The 15,003-nt window shown below is 39.4% G+C and overlaps 1 protein-coding gene across 2 annotated transcripts in view, besides 5 other annotated features; it reads left to right on the plus strand.

The window, feature by feature from the left end:
- Window positions 223–836: an enhancer, noted in NCBI's record as "NANOG-H3K27ac-H3K4me1 hESC enhancer chr7:30633949-30634562 (GRCh37/hg19 assembly coordinates)". NCBI's record gives its function as "activates a minimal SCP1, AML or CMV promoter by ChIP-STARR-seq in naive and primed H9 embryonic stem cells {active_cell/tissue: H9 hESC(naive and primed)}" and the evidence as "EXISTENCE:reporter gene assay evidence [ECO:0000049][PMID:30033119]".
- Window positions 467–816: an enhancer, noted in NCBI's record as "active region_25816". NCBI's record gives its function as "activates an Ori minimal core promoter by ATAC-STARR-seq in GM12878 lymphoblastoid cells {active_cell/tissue: GM12878}" and the evidence as "EXISTENCE:reporter gene assay evidence [ECO:0000049][PMID:35858748]".
- Window positions 625–15,003, plus strand: part of GARS1 (glycyl-tRNA synthetase 1) — a 39,299-nt gene continuing 24,920 nt past the window's right edge. Inside the window, exons 1-6 of one of the 2 annotated variants that reach the window (NM_001316772.1) lie at window positions 625–1,033; window positions 4,686–4,787; window positions 5,837–5,939; window positions 6,949–7,090; window positions 8,924–9,012; window positions 9,386–9,462. In NM_001316772.1, coding sequence (NP_001303701.1) covers window positions 974–1,033; window positions 4,686–4,787; window positions 5,837–5,939; window positions 6,949–7,090; window positions 8,924–9,012; window positions 9,386–9,462 — 573 coding nt within the window. In that variant the 5' untranslated portion in view covers window positions 625–973. The remainder of the gene's footprint in view (window positions 1,034–4,685; window positions 4,788–5,836; window positions 5,940–6,948; window positions 7,091–8,923; window positions 9,013–9,385; window positions 9,463–15,003) is intronic. The other variant, NM_002047.4, reaches the window with a different exon arrangement.
- Window positions 837–1,450: an enhancer, noted in NCBI's record as "NANOG-H3K27ac-H3K4me1 hESC enhancer chr7:30634563-30635176 (GRCh37/hg19 assembly coordinates)". NCBI's record gives its function as "activates a minimal SCP1, AML or CMV promoter by ChIP-STARR-seq in primed H9 embryonic stem cells {active_cell/tissue: H9 hESC(primed)}" and the evidence as "EXISTENCE:reporter gene assay evidence [ECO:0000049][PMID:30033119]".
- Window positions 1,451–2,064: an enhancer, noted in NCBI's record as "NANOG-H3K27ac-H3K4me1 hESC enhancer chr7:30635177-30635790 (GRCh37/hg19 assembly coordinates)". NCBI's record gives its function as "activates a minimal SCP1, AML or CMV promoter by ChIP-STARR-seq in primed H9 embryonic stem cells {active_cell/tissue: H9 hESC(primed)}" and the evidence as "EXISTENCE:reporter gene assay evidence [ECO:0000049][PMID:30033119]".
- Window positions 1,960–2,059: a silencer, noted in NCBI's record as "silent region_18069". NCBI's record gives its function as "represses an Ori minimal core promoter by ATAC-STARR-seq in GM12878 lymphoblastoid cells {active_cell/tissue: GM12878}" and the evidence as "EXISTENCE:reporter gene assay evidence [ECO:0000049][PMID:35858748]".

The following is a 15,003-nucleotide window of genomic DNA, read 5'->3' on the forward strand; positions in this document are numbered from 1 at the left end:
GCAGGAGGAACTGGGTGTGTGGGGCGGGGGGAAGCCATCTCTGGGTGGTTGGTCAGCTGGGGCCTAACCACAGGAGGCAGATAGACTGAGGCTATGCCAAGCAGAAAGACTTATCAGGCACCTCTTGCCTTTCCTCATCTCTGCCGGTTCAAATCCTGCTCGCCCCGCAAGGGCAGATTGGAATTTACCTTCTCCAGAAAGCCTGGGGTGACTCTATCCCCTCACTCCTCCTCCCCCGTTCGCCAGCTTTTGTCTTGACATCGGCGGACCAAGAATGTGTGACTCTGGGCAAATCATTAACCTCTCTGGGCCTATTTCCTTATCTGGGGAACATCTGCACTTGAGCAACAGAAGTCTAAGATCCCTATCTGATTTGATGTTTTGCGACCCTTTTAAGGCGCAGGGCGCGAAAGAACAGAAACAGAAGTGTCCGTTCAAGTAGGTCGGCCGGGGTGTCACTCGTATAAAAACCTATGCTTTGAAGGTTCTCGTGTGTCTCGGCCTGCAGGTCTCGCTCAGAGCTGTGTCCCTGAACATCCACCCTGCTGGGGTGGCTTGACGCACTTCTGTGCAAATCTGTTCGCTCGCAACCCTACCTACCTCTCTCCCGAACCGGAGAAAACCTTCGGCGGGGTCCTTCCGGGTTTTGTGTCGAATCTGCGGCGGCGACCCGGCGCCGCGTCACGCGGTGGTGAATGTGCGGCAGCACGCGCGCCGCGTCGTTTACGCGGCGATTTCATCATGCTCCGAGCCGGGCGGCGCGCGCCGCTTCCGTCGCCACCCTCTCTGGACAGCCCAGGGCCGCAGGCTCATGCCCTCTCCGCGTCCAGTGCTGCTTAGAGGTGCTCGCGCCGCTCTGCTGCTGCTGCTGCCGCCCCGGCTCTTAGCCCGACCCTCGCTCCTGCTCCGCCGGTCCCTCAGCGCGGCCTCCTGCCCCCCGATCTCCTTGCCCGCCGCCGCCTCCCGGAGCAGCATGGACGGCGCGGGGGCTGAGGAGGTGCTGGCACCTCTGAGGCTAGCAGTGCGCCAGCAGGTACCGGTGTTTTGCGCTCTCCGCTAAGCCTCCGGCTCTCCTCCCAGGGCCTTCTTCTGGTCATCCTTCCCTCCTCCCCGGGGAACTGTCCTCCTCTTCGGTTACCCCTTTCTTTCCCTTCATCCTCTGGCGTCTTCTTCGCCTCCCCCACTTTGGTCCCAAGTCCCCCGTGCGTCAGCCACCTCCTCTCCCGCGGACCTCCGTCCTCCTCTCTTTTTGGATGACTCCCTGGAACCCCTCCGACTTCCTGCGTCCCTCTCCGGCTCCGTTCTCCCTTCCCCATTCTGTCACAGCCCGCGTCTCCTCTATTTCCAGTGGGGCTGGGATCTGTGACCCTTTGGTTGTCCTCGCCTCCTAACTGAATAACCTTAACTTCAGTTTTCCAGGCTCTGCTGTACTCTTTGTGCACCCTGGGTGGAAAGCCTCCTAATTCTTTCAGTGGTCAATGATGAGCCGAAAAACTGCCGGTTCTTTCGTCTTACGGCCAGGCCCTTTAATCTTTAGGATGCTTTGATAGTGTTTCCCCCTTAACATCTTCCTTCATTCAGTGCTTAGTTTAGCGGAATGATTGGCTGAGAAAATAGAATTGAAATGTGGATGTGGGGAGGTGTCGAACTTTTCTATTAATGCTGTGAACTCATCATCCTTTGCTCTTGTCATCTTTTCTGGCTTCTGAAAAGGCCGTTTGGAACCAGTGAGCCCTCAGATCGTAAACCTGGGAAACTAAGTGTTGCGGAGTGAAGTCAGCCATCCTTAGTATGGAATATTTTGACATTTGATTTTCCCGAAGGTGAGGGAAGGTTTCATGGGCTGAAGGACTTGGTGATTTAATATAGACCTCCTTTTCCTAGGGCACTGCCATAGAGTTTAGAATTTAGAGATATCAAGGAAAAGATTATTTCAGATGATTCCCATATGCAATTAGGGAGAGCCAGAGCTTGCAGTAGGACCCCGGAGATCATGACTTAGTAGTAAACACCAAACGGGTTTCTCCTGCATGGGCGCCTGATGCAATAATTTGCCTTAGCTACAGAGGGTGGAACCCTATCTCGGAAATAATTCATTGGGGCATAGCTGCCGCAAATTCAGCCACTTTGCCATCTGTCCTCTTCGCTGGTTTGAGCCTGACCGATTTTAATAAATAGCCTTTCATTTTGAAATATCACCACGGGCTTAACTTTTTTCTTCATGATTGGTGTCAGAACACCGATTGCATATTCTGTCTCCCTCCACCCACCTTCCACTCCACAAATAAAATTAGGTGTGGTTCCTTTGTCTTTTCTTAACTTGCCATTTTAAAAAATATCCTTCCCTTTAGAAGGAAGCATACAACTAATTTGGAGAAAAAAAAAAACCACCACACCCAAACCCCTCCCTCTGCCACGTTAGCCTGGAACTGCAGTGAAAATCATCCATCGGTAGTTAAGACAGGATCTAGTTAACTAAAGTAAACTTTGATCGCGGCAGCTTTCCGATGCTACTAACTACTGTCTTGTGTATTGTTTATGTTGTCTTGATTATTGTTTTGTACTTTAAGATATTTTCCGAATATACGAGTTAGTTGATTTAAGTTAGTTTGGATATTTTTTTCTAATTTTCCAAGAACACACATATATCAGTTAGTTAATTGTGTGAATTACTGAGTCCTATGTCAGCTGAAAAATAATTTAAAGATGATCTAATTTTACCCATTTTTTGTATATGGGGAAATGAGACACACTGTCACCCCTATCCATTTTGGATAACTCCATTGTGAAGTGCAATTGAAAACCTTTCCGGAGTGGGATTTTTACTTAATGACTGGTCTTGTTAGTAGCACATGTTTCATAGAAATTTGTTAATCTGGAAAATGAATGAAGTGAGTTTGTCACTTTAAGAAAACAACGGTTAGTATTTGTGGCCAATAATAAAATTCAAACTTTGGGGAAATTTTAGAATTTGGGAAGACTCGTATCTTTTGCTGTGAGCTTGGCAGCTTCACAGTCCTTAAAGATATCTGTGATGAGATGAGTGGTGATATTAACAAACGTGGATTTTTTTTTGATAGTATTTGGATAATCTGCGTAACTCAGTGAACCAGTGTTTTCCAGGTGACCAATGCATGATGTTATGAAATCAGGTATTGGTGAAAGAGCCATTCAAAGCTTAAGATACATTAATAGATTTATTCTGACAGTACAAAAAATTCATTGCTATAGTTTCTGAGTTAGAAATAACCTTGAAGAAGCTACCACTTGTCAGAGTTTTGAGGTAGTATCAAAGAATATCCACAATTATCCGAAACGGCTTTTAAAATTATTTTTCCTTTTCCACCTACATATGTCTTTCTTCATATACTTTACCCAGAACGTCATATTACAAAAGAAGCAGACTTTCCACATTGGTCTTTTAGGATTTTTCACAGATTAAGGTTACCAAAATAGTAAGTGCCAAACTCAAAATTTAAAAACCCATGAGGAAACAAGCCACCTTGAGTGAGACTTAGGGGAAATGATAATAGAATTAGATCCTCCAAAAGTATTAGAATAATCACATATTTTTAAAATGCTTAAGATAATTTTTAAAATAAAAGAAGTACTCAAAAACATGAGCAAAGAACAAGAGACTACCAAAAACAATCACACAGTGTGAAAATGAAGCACATATTGTATGGAAATGGATCACTGAAATTAGAAACTCTGTTGGGTGCCCAAGGGCTATATCAATTTAACAACTTTAATTACTCAGCTGAAAGTTTTTCATCCTATATAGGTAATATTTTGTTTGTTTACTCAGATGACCTATTCCACCATATTACTATAAATATGGAATTAGTATAAGTTGTTGGAAGTTAATAAAATAATTCAGAAATATTAGCAAGGAAAAAATTCCAACTGTAAAGAGAAAGGCAAAGGAAGATGAGCCAGCAGTGACTGAGAAGAATGGTCAGAGAAGTGGGAGGAAAACTGAATAATGTTTTTATTTTTTTTTGTAAGCGAGAGGAGAGAGATTTAAGAAGGTGGTCAATTTATTGGTTCTTCTGTGTTCTCAGTACAAATCTTGCTCTTTCCTACTTTTTAATCAATGCTTTTGTCTCCTCCTTTTTCACCCCTCTATACCCAAAGGAAAAAATTCACCATGTGAGCAGTTATTTGTTAACTTGCCCGTGTGTTCTTCTAGATTATTAAATGAAGAGGGCAGAGACCTTGATTCATAATGATCACTCACATAATAAACATTTGAATTGCATCATTCTTTTTTTTTTTTTTTTTTTTTTTCATTTTGAGACGGAGTCTCACTTTGTCACCCAGGCTGGAGTGTAGTAGCATGATCTTAGCTCAGTGCAACCTCCGCCTTCCGGGTTCAAGTGATTCTCCTGCCTCAGCCTCCCAAGTGGCTGGGATTACAGGTGCCCACCACCACGGCCGGCTAATTTTTGTATTTTCAGTAGCGATGGTGTATCACCATGTTGGCCAGGATGGTCTGAAACTCCTGATCTCAGATGGTGAGGAGGGCCTTTCAAAGTGCTGGTATTACAGGCGTGAGCCACCACGCTTGGCCTGAATTGCATCATTCTTACATAGACTTTTTAAAAGGCACGCTTAAAAACACATTCCTAACATTTCTTAACTTCTGAAACCAATCCTGAATATAAATTCTCTTTCTTGGCTAGGGAGATCTTGTGCGAAAACTCAAAGAAGATAAAGCACCCCAAGTAGACGTAGACAAAGCAGTGGCTGAGCTCAAAGCCCGCAAGAGGGTTCTGGAAGCAAAGGTGAGTCCTGGGATGCTAAAATAGGAACATAAGTAGGTATAGGATTGTTCATCTTTAATTTCTTTGGATGGGAGAGACCTAGAAAAGTTTCTGAACAAGTATCATTTGGTTTATCTGTTTATCCATAATGCCGCCTTCTCCTTTCCCTCTACCTGGTAGACTCCTCATCCTTTCAAAATGCAACTCAAAATGTCAACTTTTTAATAAAGCCTTCCTGACCCTGCAAATGCTGGACTCAATACGCTATATGAATTTCCATGGAAAGGATTGTGCTCTTCTTTACGACTTCTCTTATGCCTGAAAATAATGATTTTTGTTTGTTTGTTTGTTTTAAGGAAAAGGTCTGTTTATTTGATACCTGCTCCCAGACCTTTCAAACAATAGATCTCCCATCACCAAACTTAAGTTGTTTTGGGGTTTTAAAGTAACCATTTTGCTATAGCAATCCACTGACAATTCAAATATTGCTTTATATTGCTTATCAGTATCTACATCAAAGTAAACTTAGTCTTGTTTTTTTTTTGAGATGGAGTCTCGCCCTGTTGCCCAGGCTGGAGTGCAATGGTGCGATCTCAGCTCACTGCAACCTCTGCCTCCCGGGTTCAAGTGATTCTCCTGCCTCAGCCTCCCAAGTAGCTGGGATTACAGGTGCCCACCACCAAGCCCAGCTAATTTTTGTATTTTTAGTAGAGACAGTGTTTTGCCATGTTGGCCAGGCTGGGCTTGAACTCCTGACCTCAGGTGATCCACCCACTTCGGCCTCCCAAAGTACTGGGATTACAGGTGTGAGCCACCGCACCTGGTCAAGCTTAGTCTTGTAATCTTGGAAATGATCATATATTTTCCTAAATGATTAAGTAAAGATATCTTTTATATTACTCAAAGGGAAAAAAAGACCTATGGCTTCTATTGTTTTTAACCTATCAAAATCTTGTCTGTTTGATAAATTTTATATTTAATTCTGGTGAGGAATAAACTAAATTCAGATATATAAGTTCAGATTCCCACCCACCCCTCCACTCACTCACTTTTTATTTAATCTCTAACAGGAGCTGGCGTTACAGCCCAAAGATGATATTGTAGACCGAGCAAAAATGGAAGATACCCTGAAGAGGAGGTTTTTCTATGATCAAGCTTTTGCTATTTATGGAGGTAAGGGATTAATGACAAAAAGAACTATTGTGTTGTTAGTGGCTCTAATATTATACTTAAATCAAGAACATGGCTTGCCTGTTGGTATCCACTTGTATCAGGCCACAAAGCAGAGGATGGATGTTTTGCTTTTGTTTGCTTGGAGTCACCATTTGGTGTGATACCTGTTATTTTTCTCCACTGCATTTATTCCTGGACAGCACTTTTTTTGATTAGGATGTAGGGAATTGTTGGAGGCCCATGTATGTATTTGATGTGTCTGTGTACTCATGTACTCTTTTTAAAATGCAATGGAGACTGAAGAGTAACAGAGGGCCATTGTAGTACTGGCTAACTATACTATGCCCCTTCACACAGGGGCAGTGATAAAACAGTCCTTAGATTATTCTTTATGGTCATCTGCCAGGAGAAAACATTCTTCCCAGGGATGTAGATAAATCACTGTGAATGCCATATGAAGGTATATAGGCAAATACAATTCACTGATGAAATGTAAAACTATATTTTTCATAGTCAACGGATTATTACAACAACATTAGACATATAGTACTTTGCCACTGAAAGTTGACTTGAGTTTGGCTAAGTGGATCTGTAAATGTTTACCCTTTTGAGGTTAAATAGTGCCTCAAATACCCAGGAAAAAATTAGAGAATTGGATGCTAAAATTATAGATCATTGTTATCAGATGTGGTGAGAAATTATTTTGTAATTTTTACGGCAGAAAACTGTAATCTGCTTTTTCATTCTGTTCTCTAAGGGGGAACTTTTGTTGTAGATTTTGGGCTAGTCCTACTTGAAATTACAAATATAGAATTAGTAAATGGCGTAAGAGCTTTTTTATTTTACTTCCATCAGCTAGCTGAAAGTAAGGTTCTTCAGTATTGAGGGATTTGCATTGTTGACTTGAATACACTTTTAGGGAGTATAGGTATCAGTTTCTCATGTCTCCTTGCCTTCATTTGTTCAGAGTAACAAGGTAAAGTATGTGTTTTCCTCTCATATTCTATAGGTGTTAGTGGTCTGTATGACTTTGGGCCAGTTGGCTGTGCTTTGAAGAACAATATTATTCAGACCTGGAGGCAGCACTTTATCCAAGAGGAACAGATCCTGGAGATCGATTGCACCATGCTCACCCCTGAGCCAGTTTTAAAGTGAGATCTTACTTTGGAGTGGGGGTATCCTACTTTAAATAAAATAACTTATTAAATTATTTAATATACTTATCTAAATAACTTCCTGATTATAAAGAACTACTCATTTCATGTAGAAAATCTGAAAAATATGGAAAAGCAAAGAAATGTATACCTTCTGCTCACAGATAGCTATGTTAAGATGATTGTGTTTGTCCTTCCTGTTTTTTCTGTACGTCCCTATGTATTTCAGTGTTAGCAGTACACTGCTTATTTTCATGTAATATTGATGAACATATACTCATATCATTAACTATTCATCTAAAGCATTTTTAATGATAGCATAGTATTCTGTTTTATGGAAGTGCCATAATATGTTAGTTTGTGCCATATTGAAAGCATTAAAGTGTTTCTCATTTTTGACTGCACCGAATATCTTGATAGATGGATTTTTGGGTATATCCTTGATTATTTCCTTAATACAAGTTCTGAGCAAAGGTATACTTGTAGAGATTTTCAGTTAAATACTATTTGTTTTAAAGTTTCAATGCAGAAACTTAGATTATTCCTACCAACGTTATTGAAAGTAGGGCAGAATTTCCTTTTTTTGTGTGTGTGAGATGGAGTCTTGCTCTGTCGCCCAAGCTGGAATGCAGTGGCTTGATCTCGGCTCACTGCAAGCTCTGCCTCCCAGGTTCACGCCATTCTCCTGCCTCAGCCTCCCAAGTAGCTGGGACTACAGGCACCCACCACCACGTCTGGCTAATTTTTTTTTTGTATTTTTAGTACAGACGGGGTTTCACCATGTTAGCCAGGGTGGTCTCGATCTCCTGACCTCGTGATCCGCCCGCCTCGGCCTCCCAAAGTAGGGCAGAATTTCAGAATGTGAAACTGAAAGGAATTCTTTTATTTATTTATTTATTTTTTGAGATGGAGTCTCGCTCTGTCCCCCAGGCTGGAGTGCAGTGGGGCGATCTCTGCTCACTGCAAGCTCCGCCTCTCGGGTTCACGCCATTCTCTTGCCTCAGCCTCCAGAGCAGCTGGGACTACAGGCACCTGCCACCGTGCCTGGCTAATTTTTTTGTATTTTTAGTAGAGACGGGGTTTCACCATGGTCTCGATCTCCTGACCTCGTGATCCGCCTGCCTCGGCCTCCCAAAGTGCTGGGATTACAGGCGTGAGCCACTGCGCCCGGCCTGAAAGAGGAATTCTTGCCATTTTGTAACTCGTCATTATTCATTTAAGGTTGACTGGTGGAGAGCTAATTTTTACTATTGGCATCCGTTAGGTTCTCTTAATAATTTCAGCCAATGAAGAGGAGGAATTCTGAATGATGGCTCTATAAGATCAGGACTACCTATCATTTTAGCTACTTGTTCCACCAATAGGAACTTTGTAGAGATAATACCAATGTCAGTACAGGTTTCAGTGGCAGAAAACACTTCCCTTAAGGTTCAATGTCTATACTGAGCTGCCATGAATTCTTAACTAGTCAAATTCCCAGTGATTTTGGCCTTTGCTTAGATCACTAATAATAATGGCATAGGCATGGATTAATTGATCCTGAAGAATAGTACAGACTTTATGACAACTTGTAGAAAAGAATTGTCTTTTTATTGTCTAGTTAATGTCTTCTTTCTTATGGGAAGGAAGAATGTGGGAGAGGGTGAGAAATAGATTTGAGGAAGAATTTTCTCTGGCATCCATTACTGTCATGGATACATCATTACTATAGATATGGGAGCTTCCATCTTTGAGATGGATATAAATATTGATGGGGAATTATCTTATAAGGTAATATCTATGTGTAATTTGTATGAGAATGACAAATTGGGTTGGCATTTGTTAATTTAGGACCTCTGGCCATGTAGACAAATTTGCTGACTTCATGGTGAAAGACGTAAAAAATGGAGAATGTTTTCGTGCTGACCATCTATTAAAAGGTGAGGTTCTTCATCTCCTTCAGGTAGGATTGATCAAAATAAAAGGTTTAAACTTTCTCTCAGATGTCTTTCATTAAATTTTTTATTGAGGCATAACATTCAAAGAGCAAAGTGCACAGATCTTAAGTATATAGATCAAGTCCTTTATTTTTTAAAAAAGTTATATGTAGATAATTAGTTATATACAGATAATTTTTCTAATTAGCAAATGAATCAAGACAATACCATGACTGCTGTTGTAAAATCAACTGTGGGATTCATGTAAATTAAGAACTTTATGCTTGGATTTACTTTTTAATTGTCTAGCATTGAAACTGAAAAGTGCATTGTCCTTTTTCCCATTGATTGATATATGTCAACACTGTTCTTACAGCTCATTTACAGAAATTGATGTCTGATAAGAAGTGTTCTGTCGAAAAGAAATCAGAAATGGAAAGTGTTTTGGCCCAGGTGAGTACTCTAGAGATGTTATCAGAGTAACCTAGGTGGTCGCTGTCCTTCTTTCAGTGTTTAATGACTGTTGCATTTCCCATTATGCTGACCCTGGCCACATTGTAATGAAGCAGAGGTTAATTCTGTCCTGTATAGCGTCTCTTTTTTTGCATTTTTATTTTCTTCTCTCTTTTGTGACTAACCCTTTATTTCAGCCCAAACTAACAAGTCCGTGTTAATAGGCATTCAATTTGTCTGACCTTGGAAACTACTTTTCTGGATTTAATAGCTAAAACCACAGGAGTGACTGATGATGGGTAGTGTTCAGCACTGGTGTGGAGACTTCGGGGCAGATAACTTGATGAGCACTTTCTCACTGGCTACTTGATCTGCCTCTGCTTGGACCCTGATTTCATGCTATTATTCTTAGAACCTCATGAGCAGGTCCTGACTTTTCTGTCCTTGCTTTTCTCAGTTTGCCTATAGGCCTAAAGTTTTATAATTTGTATAATATTTAAGCTGACAAATTTTAGAGAAGACAAAAAAGAGACCACAGAGATAATTTATTCTGACCTTTTACCAATTGCAGGAATACTTTCTATATTAGAAGTAGTTCTTATCCTTTTGTTGGGTCACAGACCACCCTAAGAATGTGATCAAAACTGCACGTCTCCCTGGGAAGATGCATGTGCTCATGTATATATGTTGCTGGTGTCTCACCTCATCTGTTGGCTATTCCGTTTAGGCAAAGTACATTTCTCCAACACCATGTTTAGTCATGAGGTCTACTGAGGCTCACCTCTTAAATTTTATTTACTTCCTTGGGCAAAAAACAAAAAACCAATACTGTGATTATACCTATTTTCTTTACACCGATCTCTCTCTCTCTCTCTGCCTGAATATAGAACTCCCTAATATGTTGTTTTTCATGGGAATTACTGGATACTTTTCCACTGTTGTCCTAATTTTTTTTTTAGCATGCTTTTTTTCTCTGTGATAGTTAACTTTCCAACATAGCTAAAATAATTTCTCCTTCTTCATTTACATTGAAAACTTTCTTAATTTGGCTGTTGAATCATCTGCTGATTTATTTTGATACTTGTGGAGTGTAATTTTATCCCTTGCTTGAAGCTCATTGTTTTAGTAATTACTCATGGTTTAGAAAATTATTTCTTACATTTTGATACTGTTGAAGCCACACGTTCATCTCATTTTCTTATCCAAAGGCATGCCCTTTATTAGAAAAAATGGAAAATGCCTCTAAGTATCCCTAAAATTTTCCATTCAGAATTTTAGATTTACTGAGGTTTTGTGTATATGTTTTTGATCTTAACAGTATTATTCATTTCCAAGTACGTTGTCAGAGTTGGGAAGTAACTAGTTGATTTGACAAGTCAATTTATTGTTTGAGCATTGGCCTTCTCTCTTATTTCAGATCTGTGTTCTAGGAGAGCAATTTGTTTTTTGACTTGCCATATCAGATGCATGTACAGCTGTCAATATAATCTTCAATGAAAAGTAAGGGACCCATGGGAAATGGTGTAGCACTCAGAAATGGCCCTGGTGGATTCACTGGCTGAAAGCCCATCTGTTGCTTAAGCACAGAGTAGCGTTTTCTGCACCTTAGTGTCTGACTCCTTTTCAGCTTTATGAAGCATCATTGTTTCTTTAAAAGGCCCTGATTCACCTTCTGTGGTAGGAAGACCTCTACTCCTATTATGTGGATTTAACAGCTCAGAACGAATTCTTTTGTTTCTCTTCTCTGTCTGTTTTTGTGGCCCATCTCTGGATGTTCCAGTTTTAAAAACCATTTTTAACTTGTTTATGAAAAATTCAAAACATACAAAATTTTATATGTTAAATAAAAACATAATAAACAATTATGTACCTATCACCCTGCTTCACTGTTAGATTTTTTTGTATCTATTCCCCTCTCACTTTCCTGACTTCTTTCCCCTAATTCTTTGTGTGTGGTAGGGTGGGGACAGAGCCCCACTCTGTAGCCCAGGCTGGAGTGGAGGGGCACGAACATGGCTCACTGCAGCCAGGACCTCCTGAGCTCAAGAATCCTCCTGTCTGGGCCTCCCAAAGTGCTAGGATTACACATGTGAGCCATGGTGCCCAGCCTGAATTTTTTTGAAGCAGATCTCAAACATTATTTTATTATACCTGTAAATTTTTCATTATCTATCTCTAAAAGAGAAAAATCCTTTAAAAATAAAGGATTTAAAAAATCCTTTTCAATCCTCTTACCTTGGGAAATGTTAATAATTTAATATCATCAAATATTTGATCAGTGTTCATGTTTTCTAGGCTGTCTTAAATGTTTCCAGTTTTTAAAATTTGAATTGGGATCCAGATAAAGTCTATACTTTGTGATAGGTTGATATGTTTCTTATATCTCTTCCAATCTGTATGGCCTTCCTTCATTCCCTTTTCCCTCCCCGCATTTTCATTAAAATTTTTTTCAAGAAGCTGAGTCATTTGTTCCTTACTGTTTTCTACTGTCTGGATTTGGCTAATTACGTTATTGTAGTGAGGTTACACATGTTCATCTTTTTCTCTATTAGATTTAGAAGCTTGACCAGGTATTTTTGGCGAGACATTTGGTTAAGTGGTGTTATGGACTTCTGTCCAGAGCTACATAGTACCTGGTTAGCTCTTCTGTGGGCTGTGGCCATTGATGTCCATTGTTTAGATGCATTAACTGATGAGGGGATTTCAAAATGGTGATTTTTGTCATTGTTATTCTTTTTTTTTTTTTTTTTTAGCTAGACTATTTCTATATGAAAAAACTTTCTATCAACTATTTGATTTAACTGAGACACGATTTGTAAAGAAAGGTGAGAATAAGTGCTTCATCCATTCTCCCACCCCTTGTCTTTTTAAACCTGTTTTCCATTAGTTGGTTCCCTAACATCCTTCAGAAATGCACGAGTTCCTGCCTGCCTTTTCGTTTTTTCCTCCTACTGTTGTGAACTTTAGATTCAAATATTTGATATTCAGTCAGTTGCAGTTATCTTATTGGTGGTTAAATTGTCCAGTCTTTGGTGACTAGGAGTTCTCTGCTGAGTCCTTTTGACACAGCCCTTGTAGTCTCTGAAAACTTCCTTTAATATGACAAGATATTGCCATCTCATCTTATACATTTCCTGTCCCAGACTTGGAATCAGACATTTCTCCAAGGAGCCCTGGTACTTGGTACTTATTAGTGGGGATGGTATTGATCACTAATTATAAACCTTGTCAGTGATCTGAGCTAGGAAGTTGATATTTTTTAAAAGATAAACTTTTCATGAGTTAATATAGATACTTAATAGTTAACTTAAAGTTAGGTTTATAGGGTTTTTACTATATTAATCTTAAATCTCTCTCCTTTACCCTTACCAAAAATCGCAGTTCTCAGCAACAAAACATAATGATTGATGTGCCTTATCTCCCACTGTATACGTTAACAGTCTCAGAATGACAATACCAACACCACCATCAGCAATATGAATGTTGAAAACAGTTAAAAACACTTTTATTGTTCTTTTCTTTAGGGATATGCCAGCACTGTGTAGTCTTACAGTCTGATAACTGTATTTAAAGTCACTTGGAGTCATTCTCTCTGTGTGGTTATGCCATCAGCTAGATATGCAGTTAGTCCATATATTTCATTTTATTTTCAGTATTCAGGGTTTCCTTTTTAAAAATTTGTTTTATAATCATATAGCACAATAGCAAAGACTTGGAACCAACCCAAATGTCCATCAATGATAGACTGGATTAAGAAAATGTGGCACATATATACCATGGAATACTATGCATTCATAAAAAAGGATGAGTTCATGTCCTTTGTAGGGACATGGATGAAGCTGGAAACAATTATTCTCAGCAAACTCTGACAAGGACAGAAAACCAAACACTGCATGTTCTCACTCATAGGTGGGAATTGAACAATGAGAACACATGGACACAGGGTGGGGAACATCATACACCTGGGCCTGTCGGGGGGTGGGAGGCTGGGGGAGGGATAGCATTAGGAGAAATACCTAATGTAAATGACGAGTTGATGGGTGCAGCAAACCAACATGGCACATGTATACTTATGTATCAAACCTGCATGTTGTGCACATGTACACTAGAACTTAAAGTATAATAAAAAAGTTAAAATTTGTTTTATAATCATATAAAGCATTTTTTATACCTCTAAAGGCAAATCTAAAAAACAAGGTATATTTAGTCTACTATCTTTCTCTTCCCTTTACCTTCCGTCCTTCTGCTTCCCTGCTTCCTGAGCAGTTTTTAACTTAAAACAACTTCCTTTTTTAAAAAAATAGAATATAAACAAAGACATATAGATATTTGTATGCCCTCCTTTCTAGATAAATGGTTGCATTCCATACACACTTTTCTCCATTGTGGTTTTCTTCACATAACAAAATATTTCAGAGATTGGTCCCTCATAGTATATAGAGATTGCCTCCTTCCATTTTATAGCTACATAATTGGGCATTGTGTGGATATATTTTACATAACCAGTTGTCCACTGCTGGACATTTAGGTTATTTCCCATCTTTAACATTACAGATAATGCTGCATTGAATAATCTTGTGCTTATATCTTTTCATGTTTTTGCTATTGTGTCTTTGGGATAGATGCCTAGAAATGGGACAAAGGATAAATACAAATATAGTAATGTTAGATATTGCCAGATTCCCTTTCCCAGGGGTTTTGCTTTCTATCTGTATTGGCAGAATCTTTTTCCTCCTGATTTCTTTTTAAATTATGCCTTTTATTGGAAAACACTATATATTCTTGAATTACCTGGGAAATAGATGTTCCTCAGGCTCTTTAACTTTCTACTCTAGTAGGACCAGCTTATATTTATGGTACCCGTGTCTTGAAGTTCACTGGAACAGTTTCCTCATTGATCCAGCCTCTTGGGTAATTGTATAATGTTATTTTGTGGATTCCTCCTAGAAATTCTGTAGAAATAGAGTCTAGAAGGCTTAATATTTTAAATTGCACATTCAAATCTGGAACATGTTGTTAGTGTGAGTGGGTTGCCTTTTTATGGAGTGGAAATACCATTGGATTTATGAGGGTAGCAAATATAATTGCTCTTTATTGAGTAGTTATTATGTACCAGGTCCTGCCTGTGCTAAATACTTTACATGTTTTGTTTAATCTTCATCATATTCCTGCATAGCAAGGTAGAAGCTGTTCTCCCCTGTTCTTAGAGAGGTTAGGTAAGAACTTAATCTTTAGTCACACAACCCATAAGTGGTGTAGAGTTGGGAGATACGCCAAGGTCTTTCTGAACTCGAAGCTTCAGTTATTATGGCCATTAATTGATTTACTGAATTATTTTGTTTCTGTTAGGAAACTTTTAAGTTTTAAATACTGCTTACTATTAGATGGTTTGTCATAGTCACTTGAAATTCTTAAATTGGAGGGCATACATCATTTTACAGGATTTGGCACTGATGATCAATGTATAGAATGTGCAATACACTGGAAAATGCTGAGGTGAATAAGATACAGCTTCTGTCTTCTAGGCGCTTAATATCTAAT

The sequence above is a fragment of the Homo sapiens genome, chromosome 7, assembly GCF_000001405.40.
Source record: "Homo sapiens chromosome 7, GRCh38.p14 Primary Assembly".
Taxonomy (NCBI): domain Eukaryota; kingdom Metazoa; phylum Chordata; class Mammalia; order Primates; family Hominidae; genus Homo; species Homo sapiens.